A 23,120-nucleotide genomic window follows, 5' to 3' on the forward strand; every position below is an offset into this window, starting at 1 on the left:
AGGGTTGTCTGAAATCAGACAGATAGCATGACCCCGGATGGGGAAGGTGCAGCTCACAGCACACTGGGGGAGCTGTGGGAGGGTGTGTGGCATGCAGCGTGTATTTTCTTCTGAAGGTCAGTGCAGCTGGATGTGTTTTTCAGCGGTCGCCCACAGTTTTGGTGGGGATGAAGCAGTGCACGAACAAATGCAAAATTCAGGTTATGCTCAAAATTGTTCAGTTACATTGGAACAGACTTACATTTCAAGAACAAGCATTGGCTGGGTGCAGTGGCTGACACCTGTAATCCCAGCACTTTGGGAGGCTGAGGTGGGCAGATTGCCTGAGGTTGGGAGTTCGAGACCAGCCTGGACAACATGGCGAAACCCTGTCTCTACTAAAAATACAAAAATTAGCCGGGCGTGGTGACGCATGCCTGTAATCCCAGCTACTCAGGAGGCTGAGGCAGGAGAATCTCTTGAACCTGGGAAGCAGAGGTTGCGATGAGCCAAGATCACGCCATTGCACTCCAGCCTGGGCAACAAAAGCAAAACTCCATCTCAAAACAAACAAACAAACAAACAAAACAAAAGAAAACAAGCTTTGGCCAGGTGCAGTGGCTGACACCTGTAATCCCAGCACTTTGGCAGGGCAAGGCAGAAGGATCGCTTGAGGCCAGGAGTTCAAGACCAGCCTGGGCAACATAGTGAGACCCCATCTCTACAAAAAAATTAAAAGTTAGCCAGGCATGGTGGTGCGTGCCTGTGGTCCCAGCTACTCGGGAGGCCAAAGTGGGGGGATTGCTTGAATCTAGGAGTTAGAGGCTGCAGTGAGCTATGATTGTGCCACTGCAATCCAGCCTGGGTAACAAAGAGACCCTGTCCCTTTAAAAAAAAATCCATTGCTGGCAAGCGCAGGGATTCCTCTTGTTGTGGGGTGGGAATGGAAGAAGGTCATTTTTAGGTTTGGGATTAGCAGCAGACTTGAGGGACTGTTTAAGGCTTCAGATGAACAAGGTTTTAAAGGCTATTGTTATTTATAGTTTTTATATTAGCCATCCATCAGGGATTTGGAGAGGGGACAATTTAGAGGATTATTTGTAACTTAAAAATAATTATTTATGGTTGGTATATTATGTTGTAGTTTAATTATCTGTAGTTTTAGGATATCTGGGACTGGGGACCAGAGAATTATCTTTTTATTTCACCTGATTTTGTTTCTGCATCATCTGAGTTTTGAAAATTATCCAAGGTCTGGGGAGTTATCCCTAGCTGGGGTTTGAGAAAGGGAAATAATAAAAAAAATTTTTTTTTGGCTAGACGCAGTGGCTCACCCCTGTAATCCCATCACCTTGGGAGTCTGAGGAAGGAGGATCGGTTGAGCCCAGGAGTTCCAGATTAGCCTGGGCAACATAGCGAAACCTCTACAAAAATTAGCCAGGCTGGGTGCAATGGCTCACGCCTGTAATCCCAGCACTTTGGGAGGCCAAGGCGGGCAGATCACTTGAGGTCAGGAGTTTGAGCCCAGCCTGGCCAACATGGTGAAACCCCATCTGTACTAAAAATACAAAAATTATCCGGGCTTGGTGGTGGGCACCTGTAGTCCCAGCTACTTGGGAGGCTGAGGCAGGAGAATTGCTTGAATCCAGGAGGCAGAGGTTGCAGTGAGCCGAGATCGCACCACTGCACTCCAGCCTGGGCGACAGAGCGAGACTCCATCTCAAAAAAAAAAAAAAAAAAAAAAAAAAAAAAAAAATTAGCAACGCATGGTGGCTGAACACCAGAGTTTTACAAATGAGTTTTATTTTAGAGACATTATTATTATTATTATTGCAAAGATATTACCAAGTTTCCTTATTCTCCACACCCAGCTCATCTGACTTTTGTAAATGATCCAGAGTTTGAAGTTTAGGGAGGGATTTTCTGGAGGGTGGCCTTCCTCGGGGTTTTCAGGTATCTGGGGTCAGAGATTGAGGGTTGATCTGGGCTTTGGGGAGCAGGGGATCCCCTGGGTCTTGTCAGTTATCTGGAGTCTGAGGACCATTTTGGTGCGGAGTAGCCCCGTGTGAGATCGTACAGTGCAGGCAAGGGGTGGGTGTGTCCCGTCTCCCTCCCCAGCCCGTGGCCAGGCCCCTTCTTTCTGGGTGTCTGAGGCACCCCTCTCCCGACAGCTGGAGAAGCCAGATGCGGGCTCCAGACCTGTGCCCCTCCCCCGGGGGGGTTCGCCTCCTCTCCTTGGGGGCTTTATGTCTTTCTCTCCCCCACCTGCAGGTCCCGAGGGCTGTAACCTGTTTATCTACCACCTCCCCCAGGAGTTTGGAGACACGGAGCTGACGCAGATGTTCCTACCCTTCGGCAATATCATTTCCTCCAAGGTGTTTATGGATCGAGCTACCAACCAGAGCAAGTGTTTCGGTGAGTGGCCGCCGACGCCACCCCTCCCCATCCACCTCCCTCGCCTGCCCCCTGACAGGGAATGGGAGGGTTTTGGTCGGCCTCGGGACAGGGCTGTGCTGAAATAATCACAATCAGAACCAGCCTGTGGCCGGGCACAGTGGATCACGCCTGTGATCCCAGCACTTTGTTTGTTTTGGTTTGGGTTTCTTTTTTTTTTTTTTTTTTGAGACAGAGTCTCGCTCTGTCGCCCAGGCTGGAGTGCAGTGGTGCAATCTCGGCTCACTGCAAGCTCTGCGTCCCGGGTTCACGCCATTCTCCTGCCTCAGCCTCCTAAGTAGCTGGGACTACAGGCGCCCGCCACCACACCCAGCTAATTTTTTTTTTTTTTTTAAGTAGAGACGGGGTTTCACAGTGTTAGCCAGGAAGGTCTCCATCTCCTGACCTCGTGATCTGCCCGCCTCGGCCTCCCAAAGTGCTGGGATTACAGGCATGATCCACTGCGCCTGGCCAATCCCAGCACTTTGAGAGGCTGAGGTGGGCGGATTGCTTGAGTCCAGGAGTTCAAGACCAGCCTGGGTAACATAATGAGACCCCGTGTTTACAAAAGACAACCTTTTTAATTAGCTGAGCTTAGTGGCGTGTGCCTGTAGTCCCAACTACTCAGGAGGCTGAGGTGTGAGGACCCCTTGAACCCAGGAGTTCAAGACCAGCCTGGGCAACATAGCAAGACCCCATTTCTACAAAAAATACAAAAAAAAAATTAGCCAGGCTTGGTGGTGCACACTGGTAGTCTCAGCTACTTGGGAGATGGAGGTGGGACGATCCCTTGAGTCCGTGAGGTCGAGGCTGCAGTGAGCTATGATCACACCACTGCATTCCAGCCCAGACAACACAGCAAGACCCTGTCTCATACAAAAAAACAAAAATGGCCAGGCGCAGTGGCTCACACCTGTAGTCCCAGACCTTTGGGAGGCTGAGGTGGGTGGTTCACGAGGTCAGAAGATCGAGACATCCTGGCTAACACAGTGAAACCCCCATCTCTACTAAAAATACAAAAAAATTAGCCGGGCATGGTGGTGGGTGCCTGTAATCCCAGCTACTTAGGAGATTGCAGCAGGAGAATCACTAGAACCCAGGAGGTGGAGGTGGAGGTTGCAGTGAGCCGAGATCGTGCCATTGTACTCCAGCCTGGGCAATAAAGCAAGACTCCGACTCAAAAAAAAAAAAAAAAAAGAACTGAGGCCTGAATGAGGAGCACCAGGCATGGGAAATCTGGGGGAAGAGTGTCCCAGGCAGAGGGAACAGCCCATGCAAAGACCCCGAGGCAGGACGGCGCCTGACATGTTGGAGGAGCAGTGAGGAGGCCCATGTGGCTGGAGCAGAGTGAGGAGGGGGAGAGAGGGAGGAGGGGGAACATGGAGAGGGGACAGGGGAGGGTGACCAGGGCCTTGTGAGCCTCAGGGAGGACTTCCTTGTACCCAAAGACAGAGGACATTAAGGCTCTGAAAAGGGCTGCAATTTGTCCAAAGTCACACAGCAGGAAAGAGGTAGAAGAACCTGGAGTAGAACCAGACTCTTTTTTTTTGTTTTGTTTTTTGGCTTTTTTTGAGGCAGAGCTTCACTCTTGTTGCCCAGGCTGGAGTGCAATTGCACGATCTCAGCTCACCGCAATCTCTGCCTCTTGGGTTCAAGTGATTCTCCTGACTCAGCATCCCGAGTAGCTGGGATTACAGGCACCCGCCATCACGTCTGGCTAATTTTTGTATTTTTAGTAGAAATGGGGTTTCACCATGTTGGCCAGGCTGGTCCCAAACTCCCGACCTCAGGTGATCCACCCGCCTCGGCCTCCCAAAGTGCTGGAATTACAGACGTGAACCACCACACCCGGCCAAAGACCAGACTGTTAACCTCACACTGTCCTGTTTAAAGGGTCAGCCCTTGACTTTGTTTTTTTTTTTTTTTTTGAAATGGAGTCTTGTGCCATCAGTGCGATCTCGGCTCACTGCAAGCTCCATCTCCCAGGCTCAAGCGATTCTCCTGCCTCAGCCTCCTGAGTAGCTGGGATTACGGGTGGACACTACCATGCGTAGCTAATTTTTGTATTTTTAGTAGAGACGGGGTTTGACCATGTTGGCCAGGCTGGTCTCAAACTCCTGACCTCAGGTGATCTGCCCGTCTTGGCCTCCCAAGGTGCTGGGATTACAGGCGTGAGCCACCACGCCTGGCCATGGGGTGGAGTATTTCTGATGGCCTCTGGACAGAGACTGGAGCAGAGGTACTGACAGAGATGGAGAGAAAGAGACAGAGATGAGACAGAAGGAGAGGGAGAGGAAGAAAAGACTCAAGCTAGAGAACGAGAGAAAGAGGGGAGGGGAGAGAAACAGAGACAGTTAGCTGGGCATGGTGGTATGGGCCTGTGGTCCCAGCTACTCAGGAGGCTGAGGCAGGAGCATCTCTTGAGCCAAGGAGGTCGAGGCTGCAGTGAGCTGAGATTGCGCCACTGCACTCCAGCCTGGGTGACAGAGTGAGATCCTGTCCCCACTCCCTTCTGCAAAAAAAAGAGAGAGACAAAGTTGTGGACACACAGTCAGCTGGAGACACAGATCCTGGCTGGACAGAGGGCTTGGAAGGAGGCAGGCATCCTCCTGAGGGAAGGTGGGGAAAAGGTGGCCCTCCAGGACCCTCGGAAGCCCCACCTGGCCCCTATACCAGCTGGGAAGTCTCAGCACAGCCGACCCCAAGATAAGGAGTGAGTGCCCCATCCTCAGAGGTATACAAGTCCAGAGGTGTCAGAACAAAGCCAGGGCTGCTGTGTGTCCTCCACCACAAACACCCTGGCCTGTGCAGGTGTGCACGCAGGCCTGCTCAGGACCCCGTGAGCCGGGAAGCCAGGGCCACAGCATAGGAACAAGCCGAGGACACCCGCAGCGCCAACCACGGAGGTCCACCCTGGTTTCTGCAGGCTTCGTGAGCTTTGATAACCCGGCCAGCGCCCAGGCAGCCATCCAGGCCATGAACGGCTTCCAGATCGGCATGAAGAGGCTCAAAGTCCAGCTGAAGCGGCCCAAAGACCCGGGACACCCCTACTGACCGCGCCCACAGCCGCCCTGAGGCTGTAGGCATGGCCCAGGTGAGCCGCCAGGCGGCCCCACCCCCGCCCAAGCCCCCCGTCTTGTCTGAAACCCCCTCCCGCGGCCCACTTCATGCTCCAAACCCTCCCCAGGTGGGGTGATGCTTCAAGAGGCTACAAGAAACCTCCGGGTTGGGTTGGCGGGGACAGAGCTGGATGTAGACACCCCCGATCCCCCTGTGGTTGGGGCTGGAGCAGAGGGTGGGAATGGGGTAGGGACTGAGGTGAGCCAGGGCCCAGTGAGGTCGGTTAGGGAATCCTTCCCGGAGAAGGCTTTGAGGGCTGAATAGAAGTTCACCTGAGAGGCCAGGTTTGCTCTGGGGGTGGGGGTGCGGTGGGGAGGGGGTTCTGTCCTGTCCTATGAGTCTGTTTTCCCTGCTGAAAACCCAACACCAGACGGAAATGCCAAGTGCCCACCCCAGACCCCAAACCCTAAGGTTGGACCCCAACTCGGAACCAGGAGTGGAGCGTGGAAGGTGGGGACAGTGCTCAGGGCCCAGTCCAGTTGGCACTGACAGCTTCCAGTGTCCCCGCTCCATTTCCACTAGTTCCCCTGGGACAAGCGGCCCCTCACTGGGTGTCATTCCTACCCAATGAGTTGATGGAAAAGTGGGATTCGTGCCCCACCCACCATCATGCAAGAAAAACAAGCAAAACGAAACCCAGACTGTAGTTTGCCATCAGGGCAAACCACTTTCTCAACATTTTTTTGTGGGGGGATGAACAGTAAACCTTGTGGGGCCACTGTGGAAACTTAACCGTGGGTCTCAAACCTTGATGAGCCTCATCTGTAAAATGGGTTCAAGAAAGTCATCTCCCCAGAGACGGCGGAAACGGTCCACCTAGGGAACAGAGTGGGGCATCTTTTCGCAGCCGAGCCCAGAACCCATCACCTAAAGAGTTCTGGATGATTCGTTTTGATTTTTTTTTTTTTTAAATCACCATCGCTGTCGTCATCAGAGTCTCGCCTAGGGCCTGGCACAGAGTAGACGCTCAGTTAGAAGCTGTCTGGCCTTTTCACCTTCTCCCGGGTCAGCACACACAGATTTGGGAGTATTTACCTGCACAGAACGCACCTTCAGGAACTGCCAACCAGAAGCAAAATCCAAAGCTGCTCTCTGCGATCCCTTCACTTTTAACTCTCAGTCTGCACTTTTTTTTTTTAACTGAGCATCTATTATGTGCTAGGCACTGTTCCAGTGCTCGGGGACGCAGCTGTGAATGAACAGAAACGGGGGATGGAGGACAGGGGAGAAACCCCCTTCACGGGCCTTAGATGGCAGGGGGTAGGGAAGGAGAGACAGAAAATAAACAGAAATATCTGTCCCCAGCTGCCAGAGGAGGAGGAAATGGGCTTGGTGATGGTGACATTAAGTTCTTTGAAAGCTGGGTTTGTTGGCCTCTGAACTCTGGCCTTTGTGGGATCTGTTCTTTTGGAAAAGATGGGAGCCCCTGTGTTCCTAGATCCCAGCCTGGCCGGGTGGAGTAGGGTGGGGAGGTGGTGTCCACCTGTGTGGCCCCGTTCTCACTCCCTAACGCCCGTCCCTTCTCCCCCAGGTGAGGGGCCTTCCCATCCCAGGAGGGTTTTCTGCTTCCAACCGATCCAGGACTTACCCATAAATTCCAACCGTTCTTTGGACACCAGCCCTTTCCTCCCCTCTTCTCCCCTTGCCCTGCCCCTCTACTGGAGGCCACCTGGAGTGGCGAGGGGCCTTTGGGGTCTGTCCTGGGGCAGGGGCGGGGGTGGGGGAGGCTCCTGAATCGTGGGCAGAAGTGTTCACACGCCCCCCCTGCTTTGGGAAACGCTCTCGCTTCTTCCCCACAAAACTTGGTGACTTCCCCAAACTAAATCACACCTTTTCCTATATATATATATATGCATATATATATAGATCTATAGACAGTATATATATATTTTGAGTACGGATCATGGGACCAAACTTTTCCGACTTCCTTCCATCCGAGTAGAGTGACCCTGGGCCGGTCACTCAGCGGGGGACACAGGAAGGGCTGAGGTTGGCGGGACCCCGCGCAACACATACCAGGTGCCCCACCCCCACCCCCACCACCTCCTGGCTGGCACATCCCACCAGGAACCCGCCAACACAACATACCTCCAGGACTTTTGGCACCCCCCACCACCAATTCTCCAGGGCCGTTGGGCTCTGCCAGCTTCAGTGTCCCTGGTCCCAGCTGCAGCCTCCAGACCCCACCTCGCCCCTTCGTCCCAGAGCCCTGCCCTCCGGGATGGATATAGGTACAACAGAGACGCTCTGGCCTGCCTCAGCCCTTCTCTGCTCCCCTGCCCGAGTCATAGCCTTACTCATGTGACCAATAGCCCTTAGCTTTCCGTCGGAGGGGGGGGGCGGACAGGGTTGGGGGGAGCCCCCCTGCCCCTCACCACCCCCTCCCAAGGCCAGGCAGCCATTGTCCCTGCCTTCGAATCACCAGCCTCGAATTTAAGGTCTTGTAACCAGGATTGCCAAGCGTAGCGGAAGACCCTACCCGGACCGGCCAAGCACCCCTTTAACTGGAGACGAACTTGATAATGACCTTCATACCTCTACAGAGATTTTTTTTTTTTTCCGGTCTTTCTGAGCAGGTACAAAGAAGAAAAGAGAAGAAAAAGATGGGGGGAAAAAATCAAACCACAATGGATTTTTGTTTCCTAGTTGGGAGTGGGGTGGGGTGGGGTGTCTTTGTGAGGGTGCCTCTGTACAGCTGCCCAATCCGCGACACCCACGTCAAAGCACAGCATCAAGTTCGTTTGGACATCCGGCAAGGCCTCTTACCAAATGAGGCGCCAGATAACTTAATAAGCTCAAAAGAAAAAAACATTTAAAAAGAAAGAAAAAAAAAAAAAAAAAAACCAAGCATTTCCTTTTCTTTCTACCAAAATGTGTTGACTGACCCGGAGGGGGGGCGGTAGGGTGGGGGAAACCACACAGAAAAAAAAAAAAAAAAAAAAAAGAAAAGAAAAAAGAAAAAAAAATAGAAAAGAAAAAAAAAAATCTTCTGAACCAACTTGTTTCGATATTCCAGAGTTTGATAATTGTTTCGAGACTCTCCTCTAGCGTGCCTGTGTTCCGTGTGTCCCCGTGTGCAAGCGTGTGCCATGCCAATCTGCCTCGAGGGGGCCTCACCCGTGTCCGCGGCGCCCGCCGAGGCCCCCGAGGGCCTGCTTGGGAGTGTGTGCCGGTGTGCAGTTGTACGTGTCTTTCTGGTCCATGTTTACTGGCTGTAAATACCATTTTTATACTCCACATCGCAGACCTGCGTGATTTGTACAATGTACTTTATTTCTGCTACGAGTAATTTCATGAAGTTTCAACTTGCAAACTGACTTTTGGGACAAACCAACACACACACAGAAGAGAAAGCAAAGAACTTGGAACTTTGGGTTGACTCGGTTTGAGTTTTGTGTCAAAGAAGATTTCCCGCGGCTGAAGAGGTTGGTGTTCCTGTTACGTGTTTCAGGTGAGAAGCAGCAAAGCGTCTTAATGTTCAAAACGCCTCTCTTTGGTCTGGAGAAAAAAAAAAAAAAAAAAAAACAACTAAAAATTTATTTAATAAAAGTTTTACTTGCTAAAGGGCTGACTCTTCTCTTTCTTTCCTCTCTCTGTCATCCACACAGACCAAGTGTATCTGGCCCCATCCAGCACCTGGGCTGGAGAGAAATGCAGGTTTAGGGTGAGGGGTTGAAGGAGGGGATATTCAGAGAAACCAAATGTAGATATAGATACCAGGGGCCAGGCGTGGTGGCTCAAACCTGTAATCCTAGCACTTTGGGAGGCCGAGGCAGGTGGATCGCCTGAGGTTGAGAGTTCGAGACCAGCCTGGCCAACATGGTGAAACCCCACCTCTACTAAAAATACAAAAAAAAAAAATAACAAAAAAATTAGCCAGGCTTGGTGGCACACACCTGTAATCCCAGCTACTCGGGAGGCTGATGTATGAGAATCACTTGAACCCAGGAGTTAGAGTTTGCAGTGAGCTGACATCGCATCCCTGCACTCCAGCCTGGGTGACAGAGTGAGACTCTGTCTCAAAAAAAAAAAAAAAAAAAAGTTACCAGCTCTAATGATCGGGTATCTGGGATCTGTCTGCTGAAGCCAGATGCATTTCTTGATCATATTACAGCTGTTTGTTTGTTTGTTTGTTTGAGATGGAGTCTTGCTCTGTCGCCCAGGCTGGAGTGCAGTGGCATGATCTCAGCTCACTGCAGCCTTAACCTCCTGGGCTCAAGCAATTCTCCTGTCTCAGCCTGAGTAGCTGGGACTACAGGCACATACCACCACAGCCGGCTAATTTTTATATTTTTTGTAGAGATGGAGTCTCACTATGGTGCCCAAGCTGGTCTCGAACTTCTGGGCTCAAGTGATCTGGCCTCTGCCTCCCAAAGCACTGGAATTACAGATGTGAACCGCCGCCCACAGCCAGCAGTTGTTTAACTAAGATCGCTCTGGTCTCTGTCCTCATGGAGATAGTCCAGTGGGGCAGAGAGATACTATAGAATAAACTATACAATTTTGAAAAAATGCAGGTAAAGTTCACATAACAGAATTTACCATTTTATTTATTGTTTTGTTTTGTTTAAACAGGGTCTCACTCTGTTGCCCGGGCTGGAGTGCAGTGGTACGATCTTGGCTAACTGCAATCTCCACCTCCTGGGTTCAAACGATTCTCCTACATCAGCCTCCCGAGTAGCTGGGATTACAGGTGAGCGCCACCACACCTGGCTAATTTTTGTATTTTTAGTAGACATGGGGTTTCGCCATGTTGGCCAGGCTGGTCTTGAACTCCTGGCCTCAAGTGATCCACCCACCTCGGCCTCCCAAAGTGCTGAGGTTACAGGCTTGAGCCACTGTGCCCAGCCAGCATTTACCATTTTACCCATTTAAAAGTGTGCACTTCAGTGGTTTGTAGTGCATTCACGGTGTGTTGCCACTACCACCTCTAATTCCAGAACAGCCTATCACCCCAAAAGACATCCTGTCCCCATCAGCCATCACTCCCTACCCCCTTCCCCACCCCCCAGCACCCACGCATCCCCTTCCTGTCTCTGTGGGTCCACCTGTCCTGGACATTTCATAGAAATGGGATCACACGGCTGGGTGTGGTACCTCACGCCTGTAACCTCAGCACTTTGGGAGGCTGAGGCGGGTGGATCACCTGAGGTCAGGAGTTCAAGACCAGCCTGACCAACATGGAGAAATCCCGCCTCTACTAAAAATATAAAATTAGCCGGGCGTGGTGGTGCATGCCTGTAATGTCAGCTACTTGGGAGGCTGAGGCAGGAGAATCACTTGAACCTGGGAGGTGGCGGTTGCAGTGAGCCGAGATCATGCCATTGCACTCCAGCCTGGGCAAGAAGAGCGAAACTGTGTAACTCCATCTCAAAAAGAAAGAAAGAGAGAAAGAAAGAAATAGAGAGAGAAGGAAGGAAGGAAAGGAAGGAAAGGAAAGGAAAGGAAAGAAAGAAAGAGAGAGAAGGAAGGAAGGAAAGGAAGGAAAGGAAAGGAAGAAAGGAAAGAAAGAAATAGAAGGAAGGAAGGAAAGGAAGAAAGGAAAGAAAGAGAAAGAAGAAAGAGAGAAAAAGAAAGGAAAGAAAGAGGAAGAAAGAAGGAAAGAAAAAGAAAAGAAAGAGAAATAAGAAAGAAAGATGGGCTCACACACTGCGTGGCCTTTCGTGTCTGGCTTCTCTCACTGAGCACGAGGTCCTCACAGTTCATCCACGCTGTGGCCTGGGTCAGAGGCTCCTTCCTTTTCATGGCTAAGTAATATTCCAGTGTGTGGATGGACCATGCTGTCCTGATCCATCCTTCAGTAGATACCTGGGTTGCCTCCATGTCTTGGCTATTATGAGCCTGCTGCTCTGAGCTTCATGGACAGGTCCCTGCATGGATGTGTGTGTTTTTAGTTCTCCTGGGTAGACACTTAGGCGTGGAATTCCTGGGTCAAATGGTGGCTCCATGTTTGACCTTTGTGAGAAATTGCCAAATAATTCTTCCTCCTCTTCTTCCTCCTCCTCTTCTTCTTCTTCTTCTTCTTCTTCTTCTTCTTCTTCTTCTTCTTCTTCTTCTTCTTCTTCTTTCTTCTTCTTCTTCTTCCTCTTCCTCTTCTTTTTCTTCTTCTTCTTCTTCTTCTTTCTCCTCCTCCTTCTCCTTCTCCTTCTCCTTCCCCTTCCCTTCCCCTTCTCCTTCTCCTTTTCTTCTTCTTTCTTCTTCCTCTTCTTTTTTTTGAGATGGAGTCTTGCTCTGTCGCCCAGGCTTGAGTCCAGGGGCACAATCTCAGCTCATGGCAACCTCCGCCTCCCGGGTTCAAGCGATTCTCCTGCCTCAGCCTCCCGAGTAGCTGGGATTACACGCACACGCCACCACACCCAGCTAATTTTTGTATTTAGTAGAGACTGGGTTTTGCCATGTTGGCCAGGCTGGTCTTGAACTCCTGACCTCAGGTGATCTGCCCACCTTGGCCTCCCAAATTGCTGGGATTACAGGTGTGAGCCACCACGCCCAGCCGCCGAACTGTTTTTCACAGCGGCATTTTCACCATTTTACATTCCCACGCACTGTTCATGAGGGTTCCGATTGGTCCACACCTTCACCCACAGTTGCTACACAATAGATTGATTGATTGATTGATTGATTGATTGATTAGAGACAGGGTCTTGCTCTACTGCCCAGGCTGGAGTGCAGTGGCACAATCATAGCTCTCTGCAGTCTCGAACTCCTAGGGCTTAAGTGATCTCCCTGCCTCAGTCTCCCGAGTAGCTGGGACTACAGGCATGCGCCACCATCCTCCACAAAATTTTTTACATTTTTTTTGTAAAGACGGGGTCTTGCTGTGTTGCATGTTGAACCAGGCTGGGCACCGAAGCTCATGCGTGTAATCTCAGCCCTTTGGGAGGCTGAGGCGGGAGGATTGCCTGAACCCAGGAGTTTAAGACCATATGGGCAACAAAGAGAGACCCTGTCTCTACAAAAAAAAATCAAACAGACTGGGCGCAGTGGCTCACGCCTGTAATCCCGCAGTTTGGGAGGCTGAGGTGGGCAGATCATGAGGTAAGGAGTTTGAGACCAGCCTGGCCAACATGATGAAACCCTGTCTCTACTAAAAAAATACAAAAATTAGCTGGGCATTGTGTCAGGAGCCTGTAATCCCAGCTACCTGGGAGGCCGAGGCAGGAAAATCGTTTGAACCCGGGAGGCGGAGGTTGCAGTGAGCCGAGATTGCATCATAGCACTCCAGCCTGGGCCACAGGGCAAGGCTCCAACTCGAAAAAAAAAAAAAATCAAACAATTAGCCAGGTGTGGTGGTGCATGCCTATGGTCCCAGCTTTTCAGAAGGTTGAGACATGAGGATCGCTTGAGCCCAGGAGGTCAAGGCTGCAGTGAGCTATGATCACGCCACTGCACTCCAGCCTGGGCAACAGAGCAAGATCCTGTCAAAAAAAAAAAAAAAAAAAAAGAATGTTCAATCATATAACACTGGTTTAAGCATTTTATGTTTTATTTTTTGGGTTTTTTTTTTTTTTTTTTTTTGAGATGGAGTCTCGCTCTGTCACCCAGGCTGGAGTGCAGTGACGTGATCTCAGCTCACTGCAAGCTCCGTTTCCCAGGTTCACGCCATTCTCCTGCCTCAGCCTCCCGAGTAGCTGGGACTACAGGTGCCCACGACCATGCCCGGCTAATTTTTTTGTATTTTTAGTAGAGATGGGGTTTCACCATGTTGGCCAGGATGGTCTCCATCTCCTGACCTCGTGATCCACTCGCCTTGGCCTCCCAAAGTGCTGGGATTATGGGCGTGAGCCACCGCACCCGGCAGGGGTTTTTTTCTGTTTTTTTTTTTTTTTTTTTTTTTTTTTTTTTTTTTTTTTTTAAGACAGAGTCTCGCTCTGTCACCCAGGCTAGAGTGCAGTGACACAATCTTGGCTCACTGCAACCTCCAACTCCCTGCAACCTCTGCCTCCCGGGTTCAAGCAACCCTCCTGCCTCAGCCTCCTGAGTAGCTGGAATTACAGGCGCCTGCCACTGCACCCAGCTAATTTTTGTATTTTTAGTAGAGACGGGGTTTCATCATGTTGGCTAGGCTAGTCTCAAACTCCTGACCTCAGATGATCCATTGGCCTTGGTGTCTCAAAGTGCTGGGATTACAGGCATGAGCCACCACACTCAGCCTGGTTTAAGCATTTTATATGACTCAACTCATTTAACCCGCCCCAACTCCCTGAGGTATGTTCTGTTAATAGTATCCCCACTTTACAAGTTAATTAAAGCCCAGAAAGGTTAAGGGACCTGCCTGAGGCTGCACAGCAGTACTTGAACCCTGGCTCTCTGGCATTCTCTTAGCTGCTGTGTAGTGGCCCAAAATCAAATGTATTAGATTAGAATTCAGGTTATTGTTTGAAATAGGCCAATTTAAGCTTTTAAAATTTAACCCAATGTTGTTAAACATTTAGAATGTGCACCCTTAAAAATACACCAATTCTGGGCACAGTGGCTCACGCCTGTAATCCCAGCACTTTGGGAGGCCAAGGCAGGCAGATCACTTGAGGTCAGGAGGTTCGAGACCAGTCTGGCCAAACATGGTGAAACCCCATCTCTATTAAAAATATAAAAATTAGCTGGGCACGGTGGCTCACACCTGTAATCCCAGCACTTTGGGAGGCTGACACGGGTGGATCATGAGGTCAGGAGATCGCGACCATCCTGGCTAACACGGTGAAACCCTGTCTCTACCAAAAATACAAAAATTGGCCGGGCGTGGTGGCAGGTGACTGTAGTCCCAGCTACTCGGGAGGCTGAGGCAGGAGAATGGCGTGAACCTGGGAGGCGGAGCTTGCAGTGAGCTGAGATCATGCCACTGCACTTCAGCCTGGGTGACACAGCAAGACTCCATCTCAAAAAATAAATAAATAAGTAAGCCAGGCATGGTGGTGGGCACCTGTAATCCCAGCTACTTGGGAGGCTGAGGCAGGAGAATCTCTTGCACCTGTGAGGTGGAGTTTGCATTGAGCCAAGATTGTGCCATTGCACTCCAGCCTGGACAACAGAGCAAGACTCCATCTCAAATAAATAAATAAATATTAAAAAATAAAAATAAAATACACCAATTCCGCCACTGAGTGTCTCCTTAAGAATGAGCAAGGATGTGCTTAGGACAGAGGAACACTAGCTATGCTATAAGTGCTCATCTGAGGCATAGGCTAAGTGACATGCAGGGTGCATTAGTTAGGTGTTGCTGCATAACAATTTACCCATCCCCCAGTCTGTCAGCTTAAAACATACATTATTATCTGACCTACACCATTTCTGTTGATCAGGAGTCCAGGACTGATTTAGCTGGGTGGTTCTGGCTCAGGGTCTCATGAGATTGCAAACTGTCAGCAGCCAAGTCTGTCACATCTGAAGGTTCGACTGGGGCTGGAGGAGCCACTCCTACTCTGGCTCCCTCATGTGGCTGTTGGTGGGAGGCCTCAGCTCTTTGCCACGTGTGAATCTCCATAGTGCTACTTGAGCATCCTTACAACATGGTGGCTGGTTTTTCCTGGAGTGTGATCCAAAAGAGAGAGACAGAGAGAGAGAGACTGCACTGACTTTTTGTTTGTTTGTTTTGAGACAGGGTCTCGCTCTGTTGCCCAGGCTGAAGTGCAGTGGCACCATCCTAGCTCAGTCCAGTCTTGAAATCCTGGGCTCAAGAGATCCCTCTGAGTAGCTGGGTCTACAAATGTGTGCGTCACCATGCCCAGTTTATTATTTTACTTTTTGGAGTGGCGGGGTCTCACTCTATTGCCCAGGCTGGTCTCGAACTCCTGGGCTCAAGCAAGCCTCCCCGCTGGGCCTCCCAAAGTGCTGGGATTACAGGCGTGAGCCACTGTGCCCACTGCAAACATTTACTCTTCACAACTCTGGTAGCTTCCTTTTCCCCAGAGCATGCTACAGCCACACAGTAAAGCCTTACGTCTATTGAGCACCTGCTATGTGCAGCTTGTGATCAACTCTTTTTGTCCTCACCACAACCAACCAACAACGTAGGTTTCTATTATAATTCTCACTTTGCCGATGAGAAAACGGAGGGGCAGGTTTGTGGAGAGGAAAACCCAAGGCCACACAGTTGGTATGTGGTGGAGCCAGGATTTGAAACTGCGACCCGTTAACTCCTGCCTCGGTTCCCCTCCCTTCTCATTCACTGCAGGGATCACAGTTATAACCCCCTGCTTATGTATGCGCTGGCTTGTTTGATGTCTGTCTACCCAACATAACCTGGCGGGTTTCATGACAGGATGGTATGAGTGCACAGTAAGTGTGTTTGGCTTTGTTTTAATGTTATGGGGTTTTTTTTTTTTAATTATTTACTTATTTTGAAAGAGAGTCTCACTCTGTCACCCAGGCTGGAGTGCAGTGGTGCGGTATCAGTTCACTGCCACCTCCACCTGTTGGGTTCAAGCAATTCTGCTGCCTAAGCCTCCCGAGTAGCTGAAAATACAGGCATGGGTCACCATGCCCAGCTAATTTTTGTGTGTGTATGTGTGTGTGTGTGTGTGTGTGTGTGTGTGTGTGTGTATTTTTAGTAGAGATGGAGTTTCCCCATGTTGGCCAGATTGGTCTCGAACCCCTGACCTCAGCTGATCCACCCGCCTCAGCCTCCCAAATGCTGGAATTACAGGCTTGAGCCGCCACGCCCAGCCTGTTTTTATGTTGAGACAGGGTCTCCCTCTGTCACTCAGGCTGGAATGCAGTGGCACAATCATAGCTCACTGAAGTCTCCAACTCCGGGGCTCAAGCAATCTTCCTGCTTCAGCCTCCCAAGTACCTGGGACTACAGATGCATACCATCACACCTGGCTAATTTTTTTCAGTATTTTTTGTAGAGACGGGGACTAGTTATGTTGCCCAGGCTGGTCTCAAACTCCTGGGCTCAAGCGATCCTCCTGCCTTGGCCTCCCAAAGTGCTGGGATTACAGGCATGAGCCCTTACACCTGGCTGAATTTTGTTTTTCTGTTCCCTGTTGCCTAGCACATGATACCTGCTTACCATTAATAAATGCACTAAAAACACAATGGTTGAGTTTAGAACCAGACTGTCCCAGGTTTGAAACCGGTTTATAACATTGAATGGCTGTGTGTCCTTGAGCCAGCAGCTGAATCCTCTGGGGACCAGTTTTTCTCTCTCTCTCTGGAAAACGAGGCCAATCCAGCTCACAAAGCGTTAATATGTATAAAGTCCTTCCTGGCCCGGAGAAAGCACTGCAGAAGCTTTAAAATAAATCAGCCCTTAAAAATTCACTTTCCGGCTGGGTGCGGTGGCTCACGCCTGTAATCCCAGCACTTTGGGAGGCCAAAGCGGGCGGATCACTTGAGATCAGGAGTTCGAGACCAGCCTGGACAAAATGGCAACCCCCCCCTCCAACTCTACTAAAAATGCAAAAATTAGCCGGGTGTGGTGGTGCGCACCTGTAATCTCAGCTACTCGAGAGGCTGAGGCAGGAGAATCGCTTGAACCCGGGAGGCGGCGGTTGCAGTGAGCCGAGTTCCCGCCACTGCACTCCAGCTTGGGCGACAGAATGAGACTTTTTTTTAAAATTACTTTCCGGATGCTTTCGCTCCAGCGACCAGCAGGGGGCAGCAAAAACCCATGCCTTCTTTCAGGCTCTGTGCCTTGGCTTGAAATGTGCAAGATTTATTGAGCTCGGAGGGAGACTGTGAGGGGACTCCCTGGCTTCTCTCCTGGGACGCAAAAGTTGCCCCGTGCAAACTTTCTAGCCTGCAAGGTCGGCCCCGCTCCTCCTCCCCTTTTCTCTCCAGTAACTGAATGTGGTTTGGCTGCCAGGCCTTTGCACGTGCGGTTTCCCTAGCCTGGAACACTCTGTTCCCACCCTGGAGGTCGGAGATGCTGGGTTGGGATGGAGACACCCGTGACCTGCTAGGCCCAGGGCATGGCGTTAGCAAAGGTGGGGGTAGAAGTAGGAATTACTGGCCGGGCGCGGTGGCTCACGCCTGTAATCCCAGCACTTCGGGAGGCCGAGGTGAGTGGATCACCTGAGGACGGGAGTTCGAGACTAGCCAGACCAACATGGAGAAACCCCGTCTCTACTGAAAATACAAAATTAGTCGGGTGTGGTGGTGCATGCCTGTAATCCCAGCTACTAAGGAGGCTGAGGCCGGAGAATCGCTTGAACCTGGGAGGCGGAGGTTGCGGTGAGCCGAGATTGCGCCACTGCACTCCAGCCTGGGCGACAAGAGTGAAACGCCGTCTAAAAAAAAAAAAAAAAAAAAAAAAAAAAAGTAGGAATTACCTAGGTCCGAGTTAGAAAACAGAGAGCCCCTCAACTGTGGCCTCGAAACCACACAGAGGACTGAAGCAGGATGTGTGGGGGTAAAACTGAGGGCCAAATAGGAGCTGAGTCCCGACCAAGGGAGCTGGAGTTCCTCACCTCTGGGTCCTCAATATTTGCTGATTGACTTAAGACATGCATGCCCTTAAGCCTTGCATTCTCTCTCCAAGCTTCAGTTTCCTCATCTGTAAGACGGGGCTCATGAGATATATATATATATATGTGTGTGTGTGTGTGTGTGTGTATATATATATATACACATACATATGTGTGTATATACATATAATGTATATGTGTGTATATATGTATATATACGTGTGTATGTGTGTGTGTGTGTGTATACACATAATTTTTGGTTGGTTGTTTGAGACGGAGTCTCACTCTGTCACCCAGGCTGGAGTGCAGTGGCGCGATCTCAGTTCACTGCAACCTCCGCCTCCCAGGTTCAAGAGATTCTGCTGCCTCAGCCTCCCGAGTAGCTGGGATTACAGGTGCGCGCCACCACACCCGGCTAATTTTTGTATTTTTAATAGAGACAGGGTTTCACCATATTGGTCAGGCTGGTCTCGAATCCCTGACCTCTTGATCCGCCCGCCTCGGCCTTCCTGATCCAACCGCCTCGGCCTCCCAAAGTGCTGGGATTACAGGCGTGAGCCACCACGCCCGGCCTGGGCTCAGGTTATTATGCAAACATCCAGAACTGGGCAGATCAAGATGAATGATACCAATGATACTATCACATTATAGGCAAAATAGGACCTTCTCCCCGGTCAGAAAAGTGAACTCTCAGGCATCACTCCTACTGGAATCCAGAGTCAATAAACATTTATGAAGCACCTACTGGGTACTAGGAGCTGTTGTAGAAAGGTACTGGGGAGAAGGCAGGGAACGAAATGTACAAAAATTCTGACCACGTCCATAGTCCCTGGCCCCGCCCCACTACTTGCCCCAACCCTCACAGGAACAGTTTCCAGCCCCGCCCCCAGCCCCGCCTCCTCTCCACCCCCTCACTTTTCTGAACCTACCAGAGCGAGGTGAAGGGTGAGAGTAATCTACATATTCATGAGGGATCAGCCAATCCACAGCCTGAACTCGGATTTGTCTTCAGAGCCTAGCTGATTGTGACGTCAAGAGTGATGCATTACGTAGCCGGGCGCCGTGGCTCATGCCTGTAATCCCAGCACTTTGGGAAGCCGCGGAGGGCAGATCACCCGAGGTCAGGAGTTCAAGATCAGCCTGGCCAATATGGTGAAACCCCGTCTCTACTAAAAATACAAAAATTAGCCGGGTGTGGTGGCGAGTGCCTGTAATCCCAACTACTCAGGAGGCTGAGGCAGGAGGATCGCTTGAATCCAGAAGGCGGAGGTGGCAGTGAGTGGAGATCGTGCCACTGCACTCCAGCCTGGGCCACAGAGCCAGACTCCGTCTCAAAAAAAATAATAATAATAATAAAGTGATGCATTGCGTGATTTTTAAAGGTGCAGCAACCTCTCATGGTCTCAGTTTGCATATCCGTAAAGTACAGGTTGGGGCGTGCGGGACATAGAAACCAGCGCAGTACGATGACGCTGAAATCGCTTTGCCACCTTGGGTGAAATTCAGGGATACGTTTTGAGCGTTCACTACATGTCAGACACTTTACTCCAGCGGGGGCTCCGGAGTTCCTGCTTAGAATGGGAGCTTCAGCACCGGGGGTCGCGGACAGCTCCCGGCTCTGGTCGCAGGGGCTCCCATGCAGGATGACTGGGGACAAGGGTCTGAGCTTTCTCTGCCTGTCTGTCCTCCATCAAAGCCTCAAATGAACTCAGCCCTAATCTCTGACAGCTAAGGGGTTGCTAGTCAGGACAACACTCTGTCCTTGGTCCCCAATCCTGCTCCTCCCTCGTCGTCTGCATCTCAGCTGATGGCAGTTCCATTCTTTTTTTTTTTTTTTTTGAGACGGAGTCTCGCTCTGTCGCCCAGGCTAGAGTGCAGTGGCGCGATCTCGGCTCACTGCAAGCTCCGCCTCCCGGGTTCACACCATTCTCCTGCCTCAGCCTCCCGAGTAGCTGGGACTACAGGTGCCTGCCACCACGCCTGGCTAATTTTTTGTATTTTTAGTAGAGACGGGGTTTCACCGTGTTAGCCAGGATGGTCTCGATCTCCTGACCTCGTGATCCGCCTGCCTCGGCCGCCCAAAGTGCTGGGATTATAGGCGTGAGCCACCGCGCCCGGCCCGGCAGTTCCATTCTTCCGGGTGCTGGAGCCGAATATCAACGCTATCCTGGATCTTTTGTTTCTTGCTCAACTCCAATCTATCAGCAGGTCCTGTCGCCCCTGCCCTCACTATTCCATCCTCAAACGCTCACTTCTTCCTGTTCCTCTGCCTGGGTCCAGCCCCATCGTTGCCCACCTGGACCTGGCGCAGTTGCCTCTGCCTTGGTCCTAGGCTCCACCCTCTGCCACACAGTCTGTCCTCCCTGCAGCAGCCACCAGAGGGGGGCTGTGAGCACCCGAGTTAGGGCCTGTCCCTCCTCTGCCTACAGCACTCCAAGGCTCCCACCTTCCTCTGGGTCAAAGCCTCCCTGTGACCTATAAGGCTGGCAAGACCTTCCCTGTGTTAGCCAGGATGGTCTCGATCTCCTAACCTCGTGATCTGCCTGCCTCAGCCTCCCAAAGTGCTGGGATTACAGGCGTGAGCCACCACGCCCAGCCAATTTTCTGCATTTTGAATATATGTCTGGGTATGTCTCTTAGAGGATATTTATTCTGTTTGGTGTTTTCTGAGCCTCATGGATCTGTGAAAATTATTGGCTATTCTCTGAAAACAATCAGCTGCCCTAGTCTTCCTTCTCCTGTGGGATTCCAATTACACCTGTGTTAGATCACTTGCTCTTCACCTGCAGCTCTTGGATGCTCTTAACCTGTCTTTAACACCTCTCTAATTCTTGCTTTTCTTTTTTTACAAACAGAGCAGGCTTCAGGCTTGATGTTTGGTTAGACTATGATAAGGTTGAGGAGGTTTTTGTTGCATTTATCTTTGGACCTGCCCTCAATTCACGGCAGACTGTAGTGCGGGGGAGGCGTTATTCTTTTCTCTTTAAATATATCTAAGTCTTTTAAAACAAACAGTTTGATCCAAAGAAAAATCTTCACTAATACTTGGACACAGATAAAACGAGAAGGGTGGTCTGTGAGTGACAGCATTGAGAGGCTGCCCTAATCTGGCTTGTTGGTTTTTCAGCTAGGGAAACTGAGGCATGGAGTGGGTAAAGACTTGTAGACCAGGCCGGGTGTGGTGGCTCACACCTGTAATCCCAGCACTCTGGGAGGCCGAGGCAAGTGGATCACCTGAGGTCAGGAGTTTGAGACCAGCCTGGCCAACATGGCGAAACCCCATCTCTACTGAAAATACAAAATTAGCCGGGCGTGGCAGCAGGTGCCTGTAATCCCAGCTACTTGGGAGGCTGAGGCAGGAGAATTGTTTGAACCTGGGAGGTGGAGGGTGCGGTGAGCTGAGATCGCACCATTGCACTCCAGCCTAGGCATCAAGAGTGAAACTCCATCTAAAAAACAAAAAAAGACGTGTAGACCTGGGCCTTCTGTCCTTGGTACGGGGGGACAGGAACCGGGGTTGGGGGTGTGGTGCAGATGGAGGATCCTCACGAAGATCCAGGTGCTGGCCCAGCGCAGCAGCTGCTGCAGTTTTGATCACTGGGCTGACCCTCTTGGGCCTCAGTTCTCAGAGTGGAAAATGTGGCTGGTCAATCGGGTGTCTCTGGTGGGGGCATAGGCTGTGCTACACAGTGGACGGTCCACAGCCCACCCCGTTGACTGTGCACGGCTGGGTGGCTTGTCTTTCCCATCTGTCTTTCTCACTGTCTCTCTCTCTCCCTAACTCTCTCCCTCTCTGTCTCATTATCTCTGTATCTCTGTCTTTCTCTATCACTGTTTCCCTCTAAATCTTGCTGTCTCTCCTTGTCTCTGTATCTTTGTCTCTGTCTCTCTCCCCTCTATCTCTCTCTTTCACTCTTTCTGCATGTCTTTGTGTGTCTCTGTCTTTCCCTGCCTCTCTGTTCATGTCTGTTTCTCTGCCTCTCATCTCTGTCTTTTTCCGTGATGTCTCTCTGTTTCTTTCTCTTCCTCCCTCTCTCTCCCTTTCTGTCTCTTCTCTCTATCCCTCTCTCTCTCTTCCTCCCTCTCTCCCTTTCTCCCTCTCCCTCTTTCCTTCTTCCCCCTCCCTCCCTCCATCCCTCTCTCCCTCCCTCCATCTCTCTCTCCTCCCTTCTCTCTCTCCCTCCCTCCATCCCTCTCTCCCTCCCTCCATCTCTCTCTCTCCCTCCCTCCCTCCCTGTCTCCATGTCTCTTCCTCTCTCTCCATCTCTCATTCTCTCTCCCCTTCTCCCTCCCTCCTTTCATCTCTCTCTCCCCTTCCCTCCCTCCCTCTCTCTCCCCCTCCCTCTCTTTATCTCTCTCTCCCTCTCTCCATCTCCCTCTCTTTCTCTCTCCCTCCCTCCCTCCATCTCTCTCTCCCTCTTTCCATCTCTCTCTCCATCTCTGTCTCATCTCTCTCCATCTCTCCATCTCTCCATTTCTCCATCTATCTCTCCATCTCTCTATCTCCATCTCTCTCTTCATCTCTCTCTCCATCTCTCTATCTGCCTCTGCATCTCTCCATCTATCTCCATCTCTCTCTTCTTCTCTCTCTCCATCTCTCCATCTCTCTCTCCATCTCTCCATCTCTCTATCTCCGTCTCTGTCTTCATCTCTCCATCTCTCTCCATCTCTGTCAATCTCTCTCTCCATCTCTCTCCATCTCTCTCTCATTCTCTTTCCCCCTTCTCCCTCCCTCCTTTCATCTCTCTCTCCCCTTCCCTCCCTCCCTCTCTCTTCCCCTCCCTCCCTTTATCTCTCTCTCCCTCTCTCCATCTCTCTGTCTCTCATTCTGTCTCCCTCCCTCCCTCCATCTCTCCCTCCCTCCCTCTCTCCCTCCCTCTCTCCATCTCTCCTTCCCTCTCTCCCTCCCTCTCTCCATCTCTCTCTCCCTCTTTCCATCTCTCTTTCCATCTCTCTCTCTCCATTTCTCCATCTCTCTCTCCATCACTCTCTCTCCATTTCTCCATCTCTCTCTCCATCACTCTCTCATTCTCTCTCCCCCTTCTCCCTCCCTCCTTTCATCTCTCTCTCCCCTTCCCTCCCTCCCTCTCTCCCCCTCCCTCCCTTTATCTCTGTCTCTCCCTCTCTGTCATTCTCTCTCCCTCCCTCTCTCCATCTCTCTCTCTCCCTCTCTCCATCTCT

At 51.0% G+C, this 23,120-nt stretch overlaps 1 protein-coding gene and 1 long non-coding RNA gene across 15 annotated transcripts in view, besides 1 other annotated feature; one reads left to right on the top strand and one right to left on the bottom strand.

Moving 5' to 3' along the window:
* The window catches only part of CELF5 (CUGBP Elav-like family member 5), a 72,416-nt gene extending 63,320 nt beyond the window's left edge, over window positions 1-9,096 (top strand). For 8 of the 14 annotated variants that reach the window (XM_006722832.2, XM_006722833.2, XM_006722837.5 and 5 more), the window contains 3 exons: window positions 2,251-2,394; window positions 5,339-5,506; window positions 7,064-9,096. In XM_006722832.2, coding sequence (XP_006722895.1) covers window positions 2,251-2,394; window positions 5,339-5,466 — 272 coding nt within the window. In that variant the 3' untranslated portion in view covers window positions 5,467-5,506; window positions 7,064-9,096. Of the gene's footprint in view, window positions 1-2,250; window positions 2,395-5,338 lie in introns of all 14 variants that reach the window. The other 6 variants (XR_430147.2, XR_007066936.1, XR_001753733.2 and 3 more) reach the window with 4 other exon arrangements.
* On the bottom strand, window positions 8,785-18,922 carry LOC105372244 (uncharacterized). The gene is made up of 3 exons (NR_187753.1): window positions 18,869-18,922; window positions 14,816-15,055; window positions 8,785-9,030 (listed from the first exon to the last, which is right to left on the bottom strand). It is a non-coding gene; the product is annotated as an uncharacterized LOC105372244 (long non-coding RNA).
* Window positions 13,135-13,329: a silencer, noted in NCBI's record as "fragment chr19:3301113-3301307 (GRCh37/hg19 assembly coordinates)". NCBI's record gives its function as "represses an EF-1alpha promoter that drives an FKBP-Casp9 reporter gene in an ReSE screen in K562 erythroleukemia cells {active_cell/tissue: K562}" and the evidence as "EXISTENCE:reporter gene assay evidence [ECO:0000049][PMID:32094911]".
* Window positions 18,923-23,120: the final 4,198 nt, after the last annotated feature.

The sequence above is a fragment of the Homo sapiens genome, chromosome 19 (genome assembly GCF_000001405.40).
Source record: "Homo sapiens chromosome 19, GRCh38.p14 Primary Assembly".
Lineage (NCBI taxonomy): Eukaryota > Metazoa > Chordata > Mammalia > Primates > Hominidae > Homo > Homo sapiens.